This window comes from Homo sapiens, chromosome 8, assembly GCF_000001405.40.
Source record: "Homo sapiens chromosome 8, GRCh38.p14 Primary Assembly".
Lineage (NCBI taxonomy): Eukaryota > Metazoa > Chordata > Mammalia > Primates > Hominidae > Homo > Homo sapiens.
This window is the reverse complement of record NC_000008.11, coordinates 112349607-112372711: the sequence shown is the minus strand read 5'-3', so window position 1 is coordinate 112372711 and position 23105 is coordinate 112349607. Positions and strand designations below refer to the sequence as shown.

Here is a 23105-nt window from a genome sequence, read left to right as displayed (position 1 = left end):
TGCCCAGCTAATTTTTTGTATTTTACTAGAGACAGGGTTTCACCATGTTGCCCACTCTGGTCTCGAACTCCTGTGCTCAGGCAATCCGCCCTCCTCGGCCTCCCAAAGTGCTAAGATTACAGGCATGAGCCACCGCGCCCGCCAGATAGGCTGATTTTTATCATTATAGTTATCTTTTCTTTGTTGAACCTGAGATAATGGCATTTTAACTTTAGAATGCCTGATCTTTCATAATACTATTATCACTATCAATTATATCAGATAAACCTAATGTTCCTTCCACTCAACCCTTTCTACACCTTGGTCTTATTAATATTTCCAGATATTTGGTCATTTCATATCATTACCTTCCTATCTACTAAATAAAGGCAACATTCTTTAGCCTCTTATTCCAACACTGATTTCTTAATGTTTCATTTTTCACACATGAATTTTGTAATATTCCCCCACTTAATCAAATTAAGCATTTGTTTTAAAATGTAACATGCCTTTCCTCTCTCTACTCCTTTCACGATTCATTTCCTCCACTTGACATGCTCTACTTCTCTTCTTTTTTCTGGCTATAAGACTCAACTCTGAATTGTGTGTGTGTGCATATGTGTGTGTGTATGGATTATTTTTATTTGTGAACTTTTTTATCCCATCAGTGTTCATGTTTTTTGTTTTAGCCTGTGTTTGTTTTTGTATTTTGTTATCAAGTAGTCTTCATTCTTCCTTTCTTCCACCTTGTTCACTGCAGATTAATTTGTCTTTGGAACTGTCATTTGTGAGTGTGTGTGTATTTTTGTTTTGTTTTGTTTTTTGTTTTTTTGGTTTTTTTTTGAGACAGAGTCTCACTCTGTCGCTCAGGCTGGAGTGCAATGGTGCGTGATCTCAGCTCACTGCAACCACCACCTCCCGGGTTCAAGTGATTCTCCTGCCTCAGCCTCCTGAGTAGCTGGGATTACAGGCATGCACCACCATGCCCGGCTAATTTTTGTATTTTTAGTAGAGACAGGGTTTCACCATGTAGGTCAGGCTGTTCTCGAACTCCTGACCTCGTAATACGCCCGCCTCGGCCTCCCAAAGTCCTGGGATTACACGTGTGACCCACTGTGCCCATCCTTTGTCATTTGTTTTTATCTTACACCTCACAGATGTAGTAAGAGAGAAAACATAATTCCTATTTTACTTAAGACTGGGGGCTGGAAGTCAGGTTAGCAAGGAGATGGGGGAGACATTTAGGAGGGAGTGTAATTCCTGGAGTGTAGGGGATGCCACAGTGCTAGGTGCCACAAGCTCCTTGTGCCACTCCCCAGTACTCATTGGTTCTCAGGACCTTATGTGCTGCTTCTCATGAAACACCTGCACACAAATATTGCCAAGGGCTGAGGAACTGTTTGAGATGTCGTATTCTGTATGGGAATTGTTTCAAAGGAAATCAATGATCTCTGCATTCTAACAATATTTTAAGGAGAAAAAGAGAAGGAGACCAGCAAGGAGTCTTGCTTCAGAGGAGCAGTATATGTGCAGCCATTTCTCTGCCCAGCAGCGTGTGCCCCATATCCATGTGGGCTAGGCCCTCACCTCTGCCCACTTCCTCTCATGGGCTGGAGAACAGCAGTGAGATCCCCAGTAGGAGGCCAGGGGAAATCTGGGCAGCTGCATGTTTTCTGAGCATCTTCTCCATCCTTGCTCCTTTTCTACCCTAAATTTTAACTTCATTGATCAAATCAACCCAGCCCAGAAGTGGTCTCTTCCTTCTCTGAATTCTGGTATCATTTCCTTTTTACCTGTCTCAATGCCTATATCTTCATTCATTCAACAAATATTTACTGAACTCTGTGTGTCAGGCATTGTTCCCATTAGTCAACCAAAGAGGCAATATACTTTTGCCCCCTTGGATTTTACATTCTATCAGGTGAAGACAGATAAAAGGTGAAAATATAATAAAGGAGTAATCTATATAACATTTTAGAAAATGATGTGTCATAGAAAAAAATAGATGGAGAGTTGAGGGATCAGGAGTGCTAGGGATAAAAAGAAGGATGTTATGGTGGTCAGGGCAGACCTTATGGAGACTGTGACATTTGAGCAAGTAGTGGAAGGTGGTGCAGGAATAAACCTTACTGGTAAGTGAAGATACTGCTTTAGGGAACAGCTAGAGCCAATACCACGAAACAGAAGTATGAAGAACAAAAAAGTGAGGTAGTAGGAAATTAAATGAGAGAGGAAAAGTAAGTGGGGCTTATAAGCCATTGTAAGGACTTTATTTTTCCTCTAATTGAAATGGAAATCATTAGGGAGATTTGAGCAGAGGAATGACATGCTCTGATTTACAAGGTATTACCATGTTCTGCAGTTCTAATGCTTAGGTAATAATTGTAATTAGCATTCTTGAATTATCTCTGTGCATGAATATTAAACTACTTTTGGGTAGTGTGTTGCACATTATTTATTTCCAATAAGACACAAGATGATGTTTTGCTGTTTTTATGTCCTCAATGAATATTTGCTGGAAAAGTGAAAAACAAAACAAAACAATGATTATGTTTATCTGATGAAGATGATCACTTTGTATGACTATGGGCTATGCCTTGGCTATTATCACTGAGTATACAAATACCTGACTACTACTACTACTACTACTTCTTCTTCTTCTTCTTCTTCTTCTTCTTCTTCTTCTTCTTCTTCTTCTTCTTCTTCTTCCTCTTCTTCTTCCTCTTCCTCTTCTTCTTCCTCTTCCTCTTTCTCTTCTTCTTCTTCTTCCTCCTCCTCCTCCCCCTCTTCTTCTTCTTCTTGCAATAGCAAATTGTGATTTATTTATTTAATTTTTATTTATTTTTAGTTTTTCTTTTACTTTAAGTTCTGGGATACATGTGCAGAACGTGCAGGTTTGTTACATAGGTATACATGTGCTATGGTGGTTTGCTGCACCTATCAAACTGTAATCCAGGTTTTAAGCCCCGCATGCATTAGGTATTTGTCCTAATGCTCTCCCTGCCCTTGCACCCCAACTCCCAACAGGCCCTGGTATGTGATGTTCCCCTCCCTGTGTCCATGTGTTCTCACTGTTCAGCTCCCACCTATGAGTGAGAACATGTGGGGTTTTGTTGTCTGTTCCTGTGTTAGTTTGCTGAGGATGATGGTTTCCAGCTTCATCCATGTCCCTGCAAATGACATGAACTCATTCTTTTTTATGACTACATAGTATTCCATGGTGTATATGTGTTACATTTTCTTTATCCAGTCTATTATTGATGGTCACCAAATACCTGACTTCTAACAAGCTACTTGCACCAAATGTGCTAGTTTGTAATATGTTCTTTTGTTAATTGCTTATTAAAGAAGGGGAACTAAATTTCAAAAATTATATTTTTTAGAGTAAGAAAAATCTTGCTTTTGGGTTTTTGTAAATTTTTTATTCCTTTCAAGCATTAAACAAATCTAAAAGTTTATATTTTTAAATAAAGTTTTCTATATAGCTGCGTTAAATGTTTTCATATATTTTTCCTTTTAAAATAATAAAAGCAAAGAAAACTATTTAATAATATGAAAAGAACCAATATTTGAGGCTCACATTGACTTGTCTATGACTACTTTCAAAGTGTGGTAGATCCACATTGTAAATAGCCATTTGTACCAGAGTATTATGAACTGTAAGCATTTGAATGACTGCTTAGATTCTTCGAAACTAGCTAATGATACCTCCACTGTCATTATTATAATTATAATAAAGAAGGTTATACAACATTATGCTATTATCATTATATGTTTAAAAAGCTAACATTTTCAAGTACTCAGTATATGTCAAGCACATTGCTAAATGTTTCATAGAGGTATTTTTGTTTTATTTTTTTAAATTACTGTGAGGCAGATACATTTTTAACCCTATTTTACAAATGGAAAATTATAGAAAATAATCTCAGAGCTTAGGTACTTTTAAGTTAGTAAGTTGTAGAGTAGACCTCAGATAATTTTATTCCAAAGCAATTAGTCCTAACTCCTGTATTATATCCCTACTTATAACCTCCTCCCATAATTTTTCATCTTCATATTGCTTTTCAAATCTGAGAACAAACCCATTCATTTATTCATCAAGTATTTATTGAGTACTTGTTAAATGCAAGGTACATTTTCTAGGTGTAGGTGCTGCAAATTTGTGTAACATCTAGCCTTAAAATATTTTTAGACTAATTAAGAGTAAGGACATGTAAACAAGTAGAGCAATTGCAAAATGGTGTAAGCACTATTAATATGTTTATGTAAGTTAGTACTTCTCAGATAATTGTGCATTGCAATCATCTTGAAGTCTTTTAGAAACTCCAGATGACAAGGCTACCAACCCAGAATGTCAAGTCAGTTTATCTGAGATTCACTCAAGTATTTGCATTTTTACCAAGGTCCCAAAGTGACTCTCACAATGGCCAAAGTATGAAAATATCTTGTATAATTTAGGTGATGAACAGAGAAGGTGGAGATCATTTGTATTAGGGGTTACTGGTGGTAGAGTCAGGGAAAACCTCATCAAAAGTCAAAAGAATTCCTTCTGGCAAATAAGAATTTAAAGATAGATATGAGAATGGCTTGGCATTTGAAGGGACCTCCTGGAATGCAGATAGATATAAGAGCATTTACTCTGGAGTCAGACTCAGGTTTCTATCTTGACGCTGCCATTTGATGGCCATGTGACACTCAGAAAATTTTTGAGGTTCCCTAAAAACCAAGTTATCTCACCCATAATACATAGTTCTAATTTGAAAGATTGCTTTATAATTAAATAAATAAAGTGCTTATTGCAGTGCCAGTTATATAGTAAACCCTTAATAAATGCTACCCTTTATAGCTGATGAGATAAACCCACATAGCTGGAGTAGTCAAATGGTATAGATTTAAAATGTGGCATAGGCTTTTTTCTTGGAGAAAGAGTAGCCTCATTGAAGGACTTGGATTTTTAGAGTAACAAAAGTTTTGAATTTTAAAGAGGACTTTTTATTTTGGAAAGTGAAGTATGCATTACATGGTGAGAATAAGCCCAAGGAAAGAAATTTAAGAGGAGGCTGTTGCATTGGTTCACAAGGGAAACTCTGAAGGCAGTAGTTGTGGTTGTGTAGATGAAATGGCAGCAGATTCAAGAGATATTAATAAGATATAATTGAAAAGCTTTATGGCCAATTAGATGTTGGGGATGAGAGAGAAAAAGGAGTAGAGGATGATTCTCAGGTTTCTGGTCTTCTGTTTTGTTTTTCACTTTAGATAATATCACTTCTTACATGATAACAGTTTTGCTTTAATTAATTGGAGAGCTGGCCTTTCAACTCCCTAGACTTTTTTGTTTTCAGCATCTAGGTATTGATTTAATTATATCAAGGTCAGCATAAGTGCTTTTATTTAACTGTAGTAATTGGATCTCATATGTTTCTGTGGAATCTAGGAACCAAAAGTATTTCCTAATTTCTAATGATAATGACAAGATAGATGTATTCTTCAAAGAGTAAAACTTGTATGGACGGTGAATATAGTGCTACTTGTAAAGTAAGAAAAAATTGTAATGTGATAGCACATTTATTATATACATATATTTTAAATATTTATAGTCATGCTGCTCAAACTATACTATTTTGGAGGTTATAGATATGCCACAAATAAATTGAATTGGTGCAGTTTTTCTAAGTTACAGACATACAAAGCAAGGTAATAAATATGAAGGGACTACAAAAGGTTTAGAGAAAAATTGAATTATAGAAAAATTGAATGTATATAAAAAGGGAATTAAAAATGGAATTAAAATATAAATTTAAAAATATGAACTCTATTTCTCAACAAAGCTCTATCAAGTTCAAGACACTTTTGTAAGCAATGATACCAGCCATTTTGTCCATCTCTAAGGAGGGTCCTGGGAATTTAACCATGTCAATGCCATCTTTTTTACATTATTAACTTAAGAAAAATGAGTGCCCTGTAAAGAGTTTTTTAAGATTACAAAAGAAAAGGAAGTCAAAAGGAGCCAAATCAGGACTATAAGGTGAATGCCTGGCTGGGTGTGGTGGCTCACACCTGTAATCCCAGCACTTTGGGAGGCCAAGGCGGGCAAATCACCTGAGGTCAGGAGGTTGAGACGAACCTGGCCAACATGGTGAAACCCTATCTCTACCAAAAATACAAAAATTAGCCAGGCATACTGTCATGCACTTGTAATCCCAACTACTCAGGAGGCTGAGGCAAGAGAATCCCTTGAACCCGGGAGGCAGAGGTTGCAGTGCGCCGAGATTGTGCCATTGCACTCCAGCCTGAGTGACAAGAGCAAAACTCCATTTCAAAACAACACAAAACAAAAAACCATGAATGCCTAATGATTTCCCACTGAAACTTTCAAATTTACCCTTGTTTGATGAGAGGAATGAGCAGGAGCATTGTTGCAGTAGAAAGGACTCTCTGGTGAAGCTTTCCTGCAAAAGCTTTGGTTAACTGTCTCAAAACCCTCTTATAATAAGCAGTATTTTCCTTGGTTTCTCCAGAAAGTCAACCAGCAGAATGCCTTGAACTTCCCAAAAAACTGTTGCCATGACCTTTGCTCTTGACCAGTCTGTTTTTGCTTTGACTGAACCACTTCCACCTTTTGGTAGCCATTGCTTTGGTTGTGCTTTGTCTTCAGGATTGTACTGGTAAAGCCATGTTTCATCTCCTGTTATAGTTCTTCAAAGAAATGCTTCAGGGTCTTGATCCTACTTGTTTAAAATTTCCATTGAAATTGAAAGCTTTGTTCTCGTCTGCAGCTGATCTGGGCACAAAAGTTTTGGCATCCCTTGAGTGGAATTGTGTAAGCTGAATCAGTTGAGATGTCTAGGCAATTAGCTATTGTTTCTTCTGTTAAACATTGATCCTCTTCAATTAGAGCACAAACGAGATGATATTTTTCCTCACAAATTGATGTGAATGGTGTGCTTTTGCAGGCTTCATCTTCTTCTCTCATTCCTTCTTAAAATGAGTTATCCATTTGTAAACTCCTGATTGTTTGGGTGCGTTGTTCCCATACACTTTTTGTAAAGCATCAATGAATTTCACCATTCTTCCACCCAAACCTCACCATAAGTTTGATGTTTGTTCTTCATGTAATTTTTGCAGAATTCATGTTGCTCTGATAGGGGAATTTTTTCAAACTAGTATTTTATCCTTCTTGGTGCATGAAAGTAGATTCTATTCAAACATGTTATAAGAAGATGGTAGAAGTCCATTTGGTAAAAAAAAAAAAAAAAAAAAAAAAGGAAATCTATGCGTAATTTTTTTTCATAATATACATTTTTACAAACTTTTTGAAGTCTCCTTGTATAAATTTCTCAATTTGTGTCTTCACCCTAATTGTTTTTTCTTAAACTTTGATGTCTTCTACTGATTTTGTGCTAACAAAAATTACCTAACATATAAATAAGTTTCAAATATTAATGGAAAGGTTGAGAAAAAGAGCCAATTTTGCTTTCTGTTAATAACAAAGGGGATTGAATATTGAAGAGGAAGGAGGCAGGCAGAATTCAAGAAAATCTATTTGCTTGGCAACTTTGGGAGACATAGGAAAATTAAGGCAAACATACCAGATATTGGTGGACACATTTCTCTCTATTCATTAGAGAGAAGTTTAAACATTATTTAGTGGAGGCTGATTACTATTTTGGTATTTTATGATATAGGCTATCATAAATCCAAATAAAGCTACATCATTACTTGTATTAGGAACATATATTGGTTACATAGTCTTGTGAACAAATGTAGCTGTGCTGAATTCATAGAATTTACCCCAAATTTTTCTCACATGAAGTATTCAAGTTTTCTTTTTCCTGATCCACATTAGCACTGGAATATGGGAATCAATTCTTAAACTGACAATTTTTGCTTTCTGGTGTGTTTGTTTTTTCAAATATATTTGCTCCTGTTTGTAATTTTATATCATGCATAATCATTTTTATTGCTAGGGAAAATGATCCTAGCTCATGGAATATCATTAAATATATTGATTGTTGGTAGGCTTCCACTAAGAGAACTTGTACTTTCCAGTTGTCCTGCCACTTGGATTTTAGTGAAGCCTCAGCATTAATAGTCTTGGATTAGACTCTTTGCCTGATTGTAATATGAATATGTCCTTTCCATCTCATTTCTTTAAATTTGTAGAGACACATGTTAAAATCTCACTAATGGCAAATCCTAGAGGGACCTTGCAGCATATGTAAATCAATGAGCAGAATTACATTTTGAACTTATAAAATATACATGTTTTTAAAAGAGAAGGCTGCATGAAGTAATGGTAGTTTCAAGGTCCTTTGAAGATCTTTAGAGGTCTTCAAAAATCTCAGGACGTAGTCCCTGAGGAAGGCAAAGGTACATGTTACCATAATGAATAGATTTTCTCTTCCCCTACACCTAAGAGCACTCATGATTATAATTTTCAGTAAAATCCTAGGAAAAACTGGAATATCTGAAAGCATCTTTCTATCCCTTGTAGTAGTTGTAAAAAGCATAAAATTAGTCTCAAAATAATAAATGCCCAGAAATGTATCCATTTGACTCTATCTTATAAATAGCAAAAGATTCAATTCAGCATAACTGTTATTATTTTTACTGCTTCCCATCCTCGAGCAATATGCTTAAGAGATAATGCATTAGTTCTTAATGAGTTTACTTTTATAATCACTAAAAATGGTCTTCTCCCTTGAGCTAATTATATAATTGATTATTTGGGAAAAACAGGGATTTTAAGATTAACTGTATTTTTACTTACACTAATTTTCTTGTTTTAACTAGTTTATGCACATCAACATTCATAAATGTAATAAATATTAATTGTAGAAATACCTCCTGCCCAAATTAAATTATTAGTATTTGTCATTTCTAATTTCAATTGCCATTAACTCAGAATACATTGCATGCAAATAAGTGTAATTGATCTTTATAAACACATTGCACTTCTTAACCCTATAAAGCCCTTACAGATTTATCACAGTTTGCTTCCTTTTATTTCCATCATATTTTATTTCCTGATTATCTCACTGATTTTTCACCCCTTTGTGATGATGACGTAGAGATAGTTTTAGCCTAATCTAGGTTTCTGAATTTTGTAAACATTGTGTTTTTGTCTTCATACATTTCTCTAGTTATATCATGAGCTAGGGACACTGGTCCTGGTACCCAGGGTTTTCTTGCAGTGAAGGTAATAATCTTTTAGCTGCATATAGAAGAAGCCTCTCATGTTGAGTCAGTTGAAAGACTCAGGATGCTTAAATTTGTGGTGCTTTATATAAATATTTATATATTTTTTGTATTAATACTACTAGAGCACACATGTGAAATCTCTTGATCTTAAACAGAAATATACCCTTCGTGACAAGAAGAAAAGTATACTTTTTATCTAAAATACAAATGGACATCCTCACTTCAGTGCCTGAAACACTTCAACAATAGTTAACATTTGTTAGGCACTTCCAATATTCCTGGCACTACTCTAAGTATTATGCATGCACTTCTTTAAGTATCATAATATGACTGTGAAGTCACTATTTACTCATCCCATTTTATAGGTGAGGAAACTGAGGCATAGAAAACATCTCAGACTTTAAAACAAACCAACCAGCATGCAACTAGAGGAGCCAGGATGCACACAAAAGGTTGTGGTCTTAACTCTGAATTCTCCCTGCATTAAACACAGAAAGTTCAAATACCTGTGTTGGTTAAGATTTCAGGACTGTTCACAGTCTATATTCTGCCTTCCATTTCAGCTTCATTTCTTGCTGCCTTCCACAGAACACTACAATGTGTTTTTGAGAAAAACACTTCCCTCCTTTCCAAAAAAGAAAGAAAAATCTCTAAGAACTCCATTCGTTTAATATGTTACTTTCTGTGTCAGAACACCATACACAACTACCCCTCAGGATAATGAATTGGTAAAATATATAATTTTTCAGTACTCATATGGGTTACTTCTATGGAGCAATTATCTAATTAAACAAAGGATGACCTTCATTTATTGCAATTGTTCCACCGCGCTCTAATCATCATCTGTCAAATCAAACTCCTCTCCTGTTCCGTCAAGAGTCTCTTTAGAGCATGGTTGCTTATGTTGCTGATTGATCTCTGCATTTCTGGAATGTAACATGATACAGAGCACGCAATAGGTACTCACCAACAGCTTATTGAATGAATGAATAATACCTACACGTCGTGATTCTATTTAACTTTTTGTTCATTTAACTTAGTATTATTCTATAGACTAAAATTTGATAAGTAGTGTGTATTACTGAGTATTCATTTACTTATACAGAGTAATTCTAAGTTAAATATCAGTTACAGTAAGCACAGATAAAGTAAATAAAGTATTAAGGATCAAGGTAAATGTTAATGTAGCCTGTGCTACATGTTCCCAAAGCATTGCTGCCCATCAGTGATGATAGTCAGAATTATTGCTTCCAAAAAAGTTTATCCACAAACATTCATGAAGTTACTTGTTACATGATTAGGTATTTGACAAAATATTTGTTTAGTAGATTAATCAATTGATTCTGAGGTACCTTAAGCCAGAAAAATATCTGCATGTTTACCAAAGCAGTTTTCTACAAGTCTTCAAACTATTAATAGTACACCAACTCATATTGGGTTCACCGTTTGATTACCACAAATGTCTACATTATTCTTGAACTCTTATCTTTATAATGATAGATGTGGAATGTGAAATGATAATTTTGGTATATCTTTTTAAAACCCTTAAAGGTAGTATCAACATAAACATAATAGTTGTCTTGTATCCACAATTTAGAGAAAAGATGAAAATCAAAGACATGCAACATATTTGGAATAAAAAGATCTTTACTATCACTAAATACCACCTTTAGTGCAAAGACACATGATTTAACTTTTGTTTCTTTCTCACATAAATGCAAAACCAATATTTTTGGTCTGCATTTTCAATAAATAGATACATAGGTTGTCATGTCAAATTTATGAATGAGTTTTTCCTTTAACAAAACAATGTTACTGGGTGTCTTAGCAGTAATTAAACATTTTCCCCTCCATGTCTTCGTATCTCAATGCGTTAATCACTCATTTGAAATCAATTTGGAATACTAGGACATATATATATATATATATATATATATATATATATATATATATATATATGTATGTGTATATATATACATACACACTTTTATTTACACACACACATTCAGAATTACCAACTATATATGATATGATTAACAACATTTCTGATACAGATTGATTGATTGCTTTGTGAACAGAATTGGAAATAATACGTTTTGATTATAAATAAATATTAGTAATGTGAAGCAGTAAGGATTTAATATTTTCAGCCAGGGTAACTGCCTGCAATCATTTGACAGCAGACAGACATAACTGTGTGCAATTTTTTGTATGGATTGGTCCCTGGATTCATTTCTGATTTTTCTTTTTTTTGGCTACAACAGCAGATTAATTGATCCAATCCCATTAAAAAATATTTAATCAGAGAGCAGCTTTGGTTGCCAACGGCATAATTTTACAAAATTTATACTCATGAACCTTAAAATGACTCAATGTTTTGATGTCTTTTGTTAAGCAGGAAACTAGCCTTGGTTAAGCAGAAGAGAAGCCTTTTCCACATTTCTACAAAAAAATTCTCTTATTGATTCCTACAAATAACTTATTGATTTTGTCACTTATAAAGAGGTGAAAAATAATTCCCAAAGATATTTTAGAGTTAATATTTAACCACTTGGAGATTTATTTGTGTAAATTTAAAAAATGGCTGCAAAATTCAAACTGTAGGACTTTCATGTATTTTTGTTTCATTTTCTTTACTGCACATGAAAAAGAAACTGCTGCAAAAAAATGAATGAAGCCATCAGCATATGACTTATCTGATTATATCATTATTTTCTTCCCTAACACAAATCAGTTGCTGATTGATCTCTTCAAATGAACTTAGCTAGCCCAATTCAATATCATCTAGAAAAATTGAAGGGAATATGTTCCTGTACTTCTAAATTTTCTGCTAGTACTAATTCATCTAGGTTATAAGTTATTTTATTATATACAAAAATAATTTATGTTATTATAGAAACTCTGGAGATGCAGGAAAATACAAGGAATGACATACAAATCACCAGTAATCTTATAATCAAGAATTACAACCACCATTTGGCATATTTACATTTGGTTATTTATCTCTGTGATTATATACATATAAGAATTTGTTTTAACTTACAAAATTGCTTTTACCTAGTTTATAGAGTTTTGTGTCATTTTTTAAAAAGTTAAAACACCTTCACAAACATTTTATTTTGTTTATGTATATTATGTAAAATCTTGTTTAAAAATGAGCATCTCAGTATTCAGCTACCTCACTAACATAGTTTTATTTATTCTCCTCTTGGAGAAGGAAACTGTCGCTACTGGATTTTGATAGTTTTTTATATATATGACCCTGAATAGAGTATTTGATTAGAAAGGAAGAGAAATGAATGTGTACAAAATTTGGCCTTCTCAGTGAGAATGATTGCAAGAATGTCCTTACTGGTGAAGAGTAATAAATTTACTGTTCAGGACTCCCAAGAAACTAAAATTGTACCAAAGGAAGGTGAAATTGTATAGACAAAGCATACATGTTTATATCATAGTTCACTATTTTTGTATTCGGTAGTTTCTGATGAAGACTCTATGAAATCAGATGAATTTGATGTGTGAGGCTTATCAACGGGTATTAAGTAAGATTAATACACAGGGAAGGCAATTTCTATCTCTTCTTAGATTCCAAAATCTAGTTGGAGAAGAAAGTTGTAAACCCTTAAACATTTAAAATTAGGTCACAATTTAATAGTAACCAAGTTTTCCTAGGTCCATAAATTCAATACTACAAAAAGGAATAGAACATGATGCATGCTTGGAGACCTAACTAATTAAGGCACTGGGCATTGGGATTGCAATGTACAGACTCTCCTTATCTAATTCAAGACTGCCTCAAATGTATTCCCAAATGACCACTTTACTCCTGATCTTTACTGCCTGACTTTCTAATCTAATCATAACTCTATCAAGTCACTGCTTTTATGGCATTTTCTATTGTTAAATGTCATCCAGTTTGGCATGATTTAAGCTACTCTAACCATTGTGTTATTAGATAGCTTTCCTTTGCATAATTAGGCATTAATATTTATTAAGAAATAATCTAGATATAGGGATACACTCTCTTTCTTATATTATTCATTCATTCACACAAGTAATGTTTACTGAGTGCCTCCTCAAGACACTGTTCTCTAACGGCCCTTCTGGAGCTTTCATTCTCAGATGGGAGATAAATATTGAACAATTAATTGCACAATTATTTATATATTATCAGATTGTGTTAAGTATCCAAAAAGAATGTAGAGGGTGGTGCTACAAGAATATCTATCAGAGAGAAATAATCTGGCACAGGAATGAAGGAATACATATAAAGCATTATCATTCTTTAGGGTTTAGTTTTCAATGCTTTTTAAAAATGAAATCCGTATGTATACAGTATAATGCTGCTGGAGTGGTGACCTCTTTTTCTAACCCATTTAAATATGCATTAGATTAGCCTGAAAATGTAATTACAACAAAATGAATAATAAACAATGGCTTTTAATGAAGATGAAAAGTTTTTAATAATAATAGTTGCATATTTGAAAAATGTTTTGGCAAAAAAGCAAACATTTTGTTAAGGCTTTCAATGAATCATTTTCAGAAAACCATTTACTTTTACTATGTTTTTAGTTTATTTTGAAAAATAAACTCTTTTTTAAAAAAACATAATTTTAACTTTTATTTTAGATTTAGGGGATATGTGGGTATGTTTATTACATAGGTTTACTGCATGATGCTGAGGTTTGGGGTATGAATAATCTCATCACCTCGGTAGTCAGCATAGCAATTGTATTAGTCTGGTTTCATGCTTCTGATAAAGACATACCAGAGACTGGGCAATTTACAAAGTAAGAGGTTTAACTGGACTTACAGTTCCACAGGGCTGGTGAAGCCTCACAATCATGGCAGAAGGCAAAGTACAGCAAGTCACGTCTTACATAGATGATAGCAGGCAAAGAGAGGGAACTTGTGCAGGGGAATTCCTCTTTTAAAGACCGTCAGATCTTGTGAGACTTATTCACTGTCACAAGAACAGCATGGGAAAGACTTGCTCCATGATTCAATTACCTGCCACTGGGTTCCTCCCACAATACATGGGAATTCAAGATGAGATGTGGGTGGGGACACAGCCAAACCATATCATTCCACCCCCGGCCTCTCCCAAATCCCACATCTTCACATTTCAAAACCAATCATGCCTTCCCAACAGTCCCCAAAAGTCTTAACTAATTTCAGCATTAACTCAGTAGTTCACAGTCCAAAGTCTAATTCAAGACAAGGCAAGTCCCTTCCATCTATGAGCCAGTAAAATCAAAAGCAGTTTACTTCCGAGATACAGTGGGGGTACAGGCATTGGGTAAATACAGCCATTCAAAATGGGAGAAATTGGCCAAAACAAAGGTGCTACAGGCCCCATGCAAGTTCAAAATCAAATGGGGCAGTCATATCTTAAAGTGCCAAAATGATCTCCTTTGACTCCATGTCTCACATCCAGGTCATCCTGATGTAAGAGGTAGGTTCCCTCTTAGGAAGCTCCACCCTCGTGGCTCTGCAGGGTACAGCCTCACTCCTGTCTGCTAACATTGAGTGTCTGCAGCTTTTGTAGGTGCATGATTCAAGCTGTCAGTGGATCAACCATTCTGGGGTCTGGAGGATGGTGGCCTTCTTTTCATAGCTCCACTAGGCAGTGCCCCAGTAGGGACTCTGTGTAGGGGCTCTAACCCCACATTTCCCTTCCACACTACCCTATCAGATGTTCTCCATGAGAGCCCTGCCTCTGCAGCAAACTTCTACCTGGAAATCCAGGCATTTCTATACATCTTCTGAAATCTAGGCAGAGGTTCCCAAACCTCAATTCTTGACTTCTGTGTACTCTCAGGCTCAACACCACGTGGAAGCTGCCAAGGCTTGAGGCTGGGATGAAGGTCATCAAGTCCCTAGGCTGCACACAGCATGGGGACCCTGGGCCTGGCCCATGAAACCACTTTTTCCTCCTAGGCCTCTAGGCCTGTGATGGGAGGGGCTGCCATGAAGACCTCTGACATGCCCTGGAAACATTTTCCCCATTGTCTTGGGGATTAACATTCGACTCCTCATTGCTTATGCAAATTTATGCAGCTGGCTTGAATTTCTCCTCAGAAAATGGGATTTTCTTTTCTATCACATTGTCAGACTGCACATTTTTCAAACTTTTATACTCTGCTTCCCTTATAAAACTGAATGCTTTTAACAGCACCCAATTCATGTCTTGAATGCTTTGCCCCTTAGAAATGTCTTCCTCCAGATAACCTAAATCATCTCTCTCAAGTTCAAAGTTCCACAAATCTCTAGGGCAGGGGCAAAATGCTGCCAGTCTCTTTGCTAAAACATAACAAGAGTCACCTTTGCTTCAGTTCCCAACAAGTTCCTCATCTCTGTCTGAGACCACCTCAGACTGGAACTTACCCTTCATATCACTATCAGCATTTTTGTCAAAGCCATGCAACAAGTCTCTAGGAAGTTCCAAACTTTCCCATCTTTTCCTGTCTTCTTCTGAGCCCTCCAAACTGTTCCAACTTCTGTCAGTTATCCAGTTCCAAAGTGGCTGCCACATTTTTGAGTATCTTTTCAGTAACACCCCACTCTACTGGTACCAATTTACGATATTAGTCAGTTTTCATGCTGCTGATAAAGACATACCTGAGACTGGGCAATTTACAAAAGAAAGAGGTTTAATTGGACTTGCAGTTCCACAGGGCTGGTGAAGCCTCATAATCATGGTGGAAGGCAAGGAAGAGCAAGTCCTGTCTTACATGGGTGACAGCAGTCAAAGAGAGAGAGCTCGTGCAGGGGAACTCCTCTTTTTAAAACCATCAGTACTCATGAAACTTATTCACTGTCATGAAAACAGCATGGAAGAGACTTTCACCCATGATTCAGTTACCTCCCACCAGGTTCCTCCCACAACACGTGGGAATTCAAGATGAGAATTCCCACGTGTTGTGGGAGGAGACACATGGGAAGTGGAATATGGAGGGGACACAGCCAAACCGAATCAGTACTCATAGATTTTCAACCCTTGCCCTCCTCTTTCTTTCCCCTACCAAGTAACCCCCAGTGTCTGTTGTTTCAATCTTCATCCACATGTCTACTTAATATTTAGCTCCCACTTATAAGTGACAATATGTGGTATTTGGTTTTTTATGCCTGCATTAATTCTCCTCAGATAATGGCCTCCAGCTGTATCCACATTCCTGCAAAGGACATGATTTCACTGTATTTTTATGGCTGCATATTATTTAATGGCTGCATATTATTTAATGATGGGCACCTAGGTTGATTTCATGTCTTTGCTACTGTGAATAGTGCTGTGATAAACATACGAGTGCATGTGTCTTTTGGTAGAATGATTTTTTTTCCTTTGATTCTACACCCAGTAATGAGATTGCTGGGTTAAATGGTAGTTCTAAGTTCCTTGAGAAATCTCCAAACTGTTTTCCACAGTGGCTGAACTAATTTACATTCCCACCAACAGTGTAAAAGCATTCCTTTTTCTCTGCAGCCTTGCCACCATCTGTTTTTCTCTGACTTTTACATCATAGCCATTGTGACTAGTGTGGGACGGTATCTTACTGTGGTTTTGATTTGCATTTCTTTGGTGATTACTGATATTGAGCATTTGTTCATGTTTGTTGGTCATTCATGTGTCTTCTGAGAAGTGTCTATTCATGACTTTTGTCCACTTTTTATTTTTTTATTTTTTATCTATTTATTTTTTTTGACAGACTCCAGCTCTGTCGCCCAGGCTGGAGTGCAGTGGCACAATCTCTGCTCACTGCAAGCTCCGCCTCCTGGGTTCATGCCGTTCTCCTGCCTCAGCCTCCCGAGTAGCTGGGACTACAGGCACCTGCCACCACGCCTGGCTAATTTTTTATATTTTTAGTAGAGACGGGGTTTCACCGTGTTAGCCAGGATGGTCTCAATCTCCTAACCTCGTGATGCACCTGCCTCAGACTTCCAAAGTTCTGGGATTACAGGCATGAGCCACCACGCACGGCCTTGCCCACTTTTTAATGGGGAATTTGTGTTTTGCTTGTTGACTTAAGTTCCTTATACATTCTGGATATTAGAGCTTTGTCAGATGCATAGCTTACGAACATTTTCTCCCATTATGAACATTTTCTCCCATTCTGTAGGTTGTTTGCTACTCCTTTAACAGTTTCTTTTGCTGTGCAGAAACTCTGTAGTTTAATTAGGTCTTACTTGTCAATTTTTGTTTTTGTTGCAATTGCTTTTGAGGATGTTGTCATAAATTCATTGCCAAGGCCAATGTCCAGAGTGGCATTTCCTAGATATTCTTCTAGAATTCCTGAAATTTGATGTCTTACATTTAAATATCTAATCCATCAAGAGTTAGTTTTTGTAAATGTGAGAGATAGGTGTCTATTTTCATTCTTCTGCATATGGCTAGCCAGTTATCCTAGCACCATTTATTAAATAGAGTTCTTTCCCCATGGCTTGTTTCTGTCAACTTTGATGAAAATCAAGTAGTTGTGGATGTGTGGATTTATTTCTTAGTTCTCTATTCCACTCCATCCATCGTTGTGTCTGTTTCTGTACCAGTACCATGCTGTTTTGGTTACCATAGCCTTGTAGTATAGTTTGAAGTAGGCTATGTGATGACTGTAGCTTTGTTCTTTTTTTGGTTTAGGATTACTTTGGCTATTTGGGCTTTACTTCAGTTCCATATGAATTTTAGCACAGTTTTTTTCTTAGTTCTGTGAAAAATGACGTTGGTAGTTTGATGGAAATAGCATTGAATCTGTAGATTGGTTTGGGAAATATGGTCATTTTAACAATATTGATTCTTCCAATTCATGAGCATGGAATGTTTTCCCATTGTTTTTGTCATCTATGATTTCTTTCAGAAGTGTTTTGTAGTTCTCCATGTAAAGATCTTTTACCTCCTTAATAAGATGTATTGCTACATGTTTTATTTGTTTTGCAGTTATTGTAAATGGGGTTGCATTCTTAATTTGACTGTCAGCCTGGATGTTGTTGGTGTATATAAATGCTACTAATTTTTGTGCATTGATTAAATATCCTGACACTTTATTGAAGTTGTTTATCAGTTCTATGAGCCTTTTGGCAGATTCTTTATGGTCTTCCAAGTATAAAATCATGTTGTCAGTGAAGAGAGATAATTTGACTTATTGTTTTTTCCTTTTTGGATACCTTTTATTTATTTCTATTGCCTGATTGCTCTGGCTAGGACTTCCAGAATTATGTTGAGTACAAGTGGTGAGAGTGAACATCCTTTTCTTGTTCCTCTTCTCAACATGAATTATCCCAGCTTTTGCCCACTCAGTATTATATTGTCTGTGGGTTTGTCATATATGGATCTTATTATTTTGAAATGTGTTACTTTAATGCATAGTTTCTTTAGGGTTTTTATCATTAAGTGATGTTGGATTTTATTGAAAGCTTTTTCTGCATCTATTGAAATGATCATATGGCTTTTATTTTTAATTCTATTTACATGGTGAATCACATGTATTAATTTGCATATGTTGAAACAACCTTGCATCCCAGGAAGAATCCTGTTTGATCATGGTGAATTAACTTTTTGATATGCTACTGGAGTTGGTTTGATAGTATTTTGCTGAGGATTTTACGAACTGTGTTCATCAGAAATATTGTCCTGTATTTTTCTTTTTTTGTTGTGTCTTTGCCGTGTTTTGGTATTAGGTTAATGGTGGCCTTTGTAGAACGAGTTAGGAAAGTCCCTTCTCATTGAATTTTTGTAAGTTTTGGTAAATTGGTATCAGCTTTGTATGTTTTGTAGAATTCAGCCATAAATCCATCTGGTCTGGGGCTTTGTTTTTATTCTTGGTAGGTTTTTTTCTTACTGATTTTATTTTAGAACTCAGTGGTCTGTTCAGGGTTTCAGTTTCTCACTGATACTATCTTGGGAGGTTGTGTGTTTGCAAGGATTTATTCATTGACTCTAGATAAAAAATTCTATCTTGGGAGGTTGCATGTTTCCAGGAACTTTTTCCTTTGCTCTAGATAAAAAATAAGTTCTTACCTAATAAAAATAATGAAAGTGTTTTGAATTACATTGTTATCTCCTTATCAGAAAAATACTGAATTCAAGTAGCACATAATACTTTTCAGGTCTCAATGAGACACCAGTTTTTCTCCTTTCTTTCCTTTTTTTTGAGATGAAGTCTCGCTCTGTCACCCAGGCTGGATTGCAATGGCAAGATCTCAGCTCACTGCAACCTCCGCCTCCTGGGTTCAAGCAATTCTCCTGCCTTAGCCTCCCAAGTAGCTGGGATTACAGCACCTGCCACCACACCTGGATAATTTTTGTATTTTTAGTAGAGACGGGGTTTGACCACGGTGGCCAGGCTGGTCTCAAACTCCTGACCACAGGTGATCCACCCACCTCAGCCCCCCAAAGTGCTGGGATTACAGGCATGAACCACCGCACTTGGCCTCTCCTTTTTGATTATAGTATCTTCAGAGAAAGAAAAGTTCTACTTACAACTATATTTTAAAAATTTTACATATAATAAGAAGTACATCAAAATGTACCTCATAAATTTAAAAGCCGATTCAGAATAAAAGAAGAAAGAGTTAAGCAAGGAAGACAAAATAGCAAATAATTTTTAAGTTTTTGCTAAGAATGTTTTTAAAGTATTATTTATTTCTATTATCATAATAAATTATTTTTAATTTTCATGTAGGAATTTTCTTTTCAGAAATTTTTACTTTTGTTTCACAGTAGAAAACAATTAAGCCTGGAGTTAAAACACAATTTAGGTATATTCACACAGCTAGCTTAATGACTGGTGCCATAAAAATTAAAATTGTATAGCTTTATAATGATGTTCAAATGTGCATTATTCTTGACATCTACAGTTAAATCTTGTTCACAGAACGTTCTCAACGTCTCAATATAGTATCTAGTTTGATGAGACACTGATATTCAATTTTAGCAACTTAATATGCATAACTTAAGCATTTATCACTTGAAAGTTACTTAAATTGTTATCATTAAATATTCTTAGCAATTGGTTTGGATTCCTGTCCTGAACCACAAACTCCTAGCAGTGGAATTAAAATTGGAGACAGATATATGGTTGGAGATGTAGTATCCTTTCAGTGTGATCAAGGATATTCTCTTCAGGTAAGTCTATTTTAAAGTTGTGGTTTTGATTTTCATGGCCCTTTCAGAATATTTTACAAATCAATGATTGATAAGCCACGGGTTTTACAACATTGATCCTGGTTTGTGTCTGAGGTCAAAAGGGTGCTCAATTTGATAATAAAATATGCACATGAGAAATATTGCTGGAATTGACTAAATTTGTTTTGTTTGGAAGTAAACAAAACTGATTTTGAGTCAAAATTAGGAAAGTTAGGGAAGTCCTTTCTCCTTGATTTTAATTAATTAGATTAAAGTCTTTTAAAGTAAAAATTAATCTTTACTTTTGTCTCTATTCACATAGGATTGTGACAACTGAATTCCTGGATTTTTAGAATTTGAAAATAAAGGGAAATGCCACTTAAAACACTGAATGAAACTTCCATAACAATACATTTCCCAAATTAGTGAAAATTTACTACAAGTATATTTTGCTAAGGAACTGGATTTGCAATGTATATTCTGATTTTATGTATTTATATTGATCTTTTTTGATTTTTTTTGTCGAGGGTCCCAGGTTTATAGTAACATAAAAATTTCCTTAAAGAATAAACTCATTAAGATAAAAAGTTAAGGAAAATACTGTTTCACATATTAGATAAATAAATTCTTCAGAGAAAGCAAAATTAAAAATTAATAATTTATAGTCTTTAAAGTTGTATCACAAAATTATAAATCTCAGAAGTGCAAACAGATCTTTCAGGACTTTATATTTCAATATAAAAGTTAATATACTTTGACTTGTTTTAATATTTTTGTGAAAAAATTTTAAAATTATTCTTTAACCTACTTCACCTTGTGTGTTATAGCAATTTATTATAAACCACCATGTATACTGCCCTTTCACTTATATAATCACTGCAATATCTTAGTAAAACATATTGTTATAGGAAAATATTAAAACCGCAATTCTAATATGATATGAAGTATTATTTTTTCTACCACTATCATGTAGCTATTTCTTACATTTTATCATAGGTGTATATAATCACCTTTCTTACTTTAATCATGCTAAGATTTTCATATAAGTAAATATGTGTATAAAAATAAAGCCATGTACTTAAGCTTGTTTTTATAATAATAATTGACTATGCTACAATAAATTTAAACTTTTTATGTATGTGTACTGAACCACATCATTTTGTTTATGTAGGGTCACTCTCACATTACATGTATGCCAGGACCTGTAAGAAGATGGAATTATCCAATCCCAATTTGTTTAGGTAAGTTAAAAGACTATAAAGTATTTACCCTAGAACTTAAAGTGTAAAAAAAAAGACTATAAAGTATTTGTAAGCTTCATCAGATTTTAAAGTTTCATTCTGTATATCATGATTTTCAAACATATAGTTTGCCTTTTACCAGATCTTATGGAAATGACTTTTTGAGGAAAATATTTCACATCTTCTTTTTTTTAATTTAAAATTTTTATTTTTATTTATCCTCAACTTCAGTATCAGTGGATGACTTAAGCTGTAGAAATTAAGAAAAGACTTAAAAAAATTCTTAGAGAGTTTTCTCAGTATATCTATTGAACAGAAAAATAAGTAAATATTCTATTGCTTACTATTGAGCGGGAATAGATAAAGAATCTAAAGTGTCTAGCAAAAGGAGTATGACACCTCATGAGATGTCTTTAGTGGTGTCAGGCAGTCAAGATATGGAATATATTAAAAGGAAACTTGGGTACTTTGAAAGTACAGGTGCACATTTTTGCTTTAACTCAATGCTGCTTCCAAATTACTTCTATTCATGCTTTTTTTTCTCTTCCTCATTTTTTTTTGTATTTGTGTGCAACTATTAATATACTGGGCTGTAAAGAGTAAGAGAAAGTAATGTGAGGTATGATCCCTACCTTTAAAACATTCAATTACTATTTGGAGTACTAGAAATAAAATAAATGAATTTGTTATCAAATAATTTAGAGTTAAATTTTATCATTAACTACATGATGGAATTTCAGAAAAGTGAGACTGGGGTTGACTAAAGTATTGGCAAACATATTCAGCCTGCAAGGTTTTCACAGAGTTTTGGATAATAAGTCTAATTAAGACACATGGAGGAAGAAGATATCTCTTTCTGAGTTGGAGAAAGAGCCCAAGTCAAAAAAAAAAAAAAAAAAAGTCCATGACTTGTGTGACTTAACTCTGCACAATGACCGTACCTGTATTACATTCCTCTGCTTGGGTTTCCATAGCAGAACACTCCAGATTGGGTAGTTTAAACAACAGAAATTTATTTTCTCAGAGTTCTGGAAGCTTGAAGTTACAAAACAAGGTGCTAGCAGATTGGTATCTTCTAAGGGCCTCTCTTGTTGGCTTGTAGATGGTATCTCTTGCATGATCTTTGGTTTGTGCACCCACGCTCCTGGTGTCTCTTCCTCTTCTTAAAGGACACCAGTCCTATTGGATTAAGACCCTCCTCTTATGACCTCATTTAACCTTAAGTACCTTCATTAAGGCCCTATCTCCAAATACAGTCACATTAGGGGTTAGGACTTCAAAATATAAATTTTGGGGGGACATAATTAAGTCCACAACATCTGCGTAAAATGCACACAATTCTTTTTGAAGAGTACTGAAAAATGTTTAAGAGTGATGATGTGTTTAATTGGCAAAGTACATTGAAAACACTCAGACTTTAAATTGGATGATTTTTTTAAGGGAAGTTTTTAAGGTACTATGATTAATTTGTAAATGCATATTATACCAATTTTAAAATTACCTCATATATATACATGTAATGCAATTCTGAACACTTACATATGTGCAGATAATGGTGATTGTAAATA

General features: G+C 34.9%; 1 protein-coding gene across 10 annotated transcripts in view; it reads left to right on the top strand.

The window, feature by feature from the left end:
* The window catches only part of CSMD3 (CUB and Sushi multiple domains 3), a 1214012-nt gene that overhangs the window by 1064228 nt on the left and 126679 nt on the right, over positions 1-23105 (top strand). For all 10 annotated transcript variants that reach the window (NM_001363185.1, XM_017013010.2, NM_052900.3 and 7 more), the window contains 2 exons: positions 20178-20296; positions 21468-21537. In NM_001363185.1, the coding sequence (NP_001350114.1) occupies positions 20178-20296; positions 21468-21537 (189 nt within the window). The remainder of the gene's footprint in view (positions 1-20177; positions 20297-21467; positions 21538-23105) is intronic.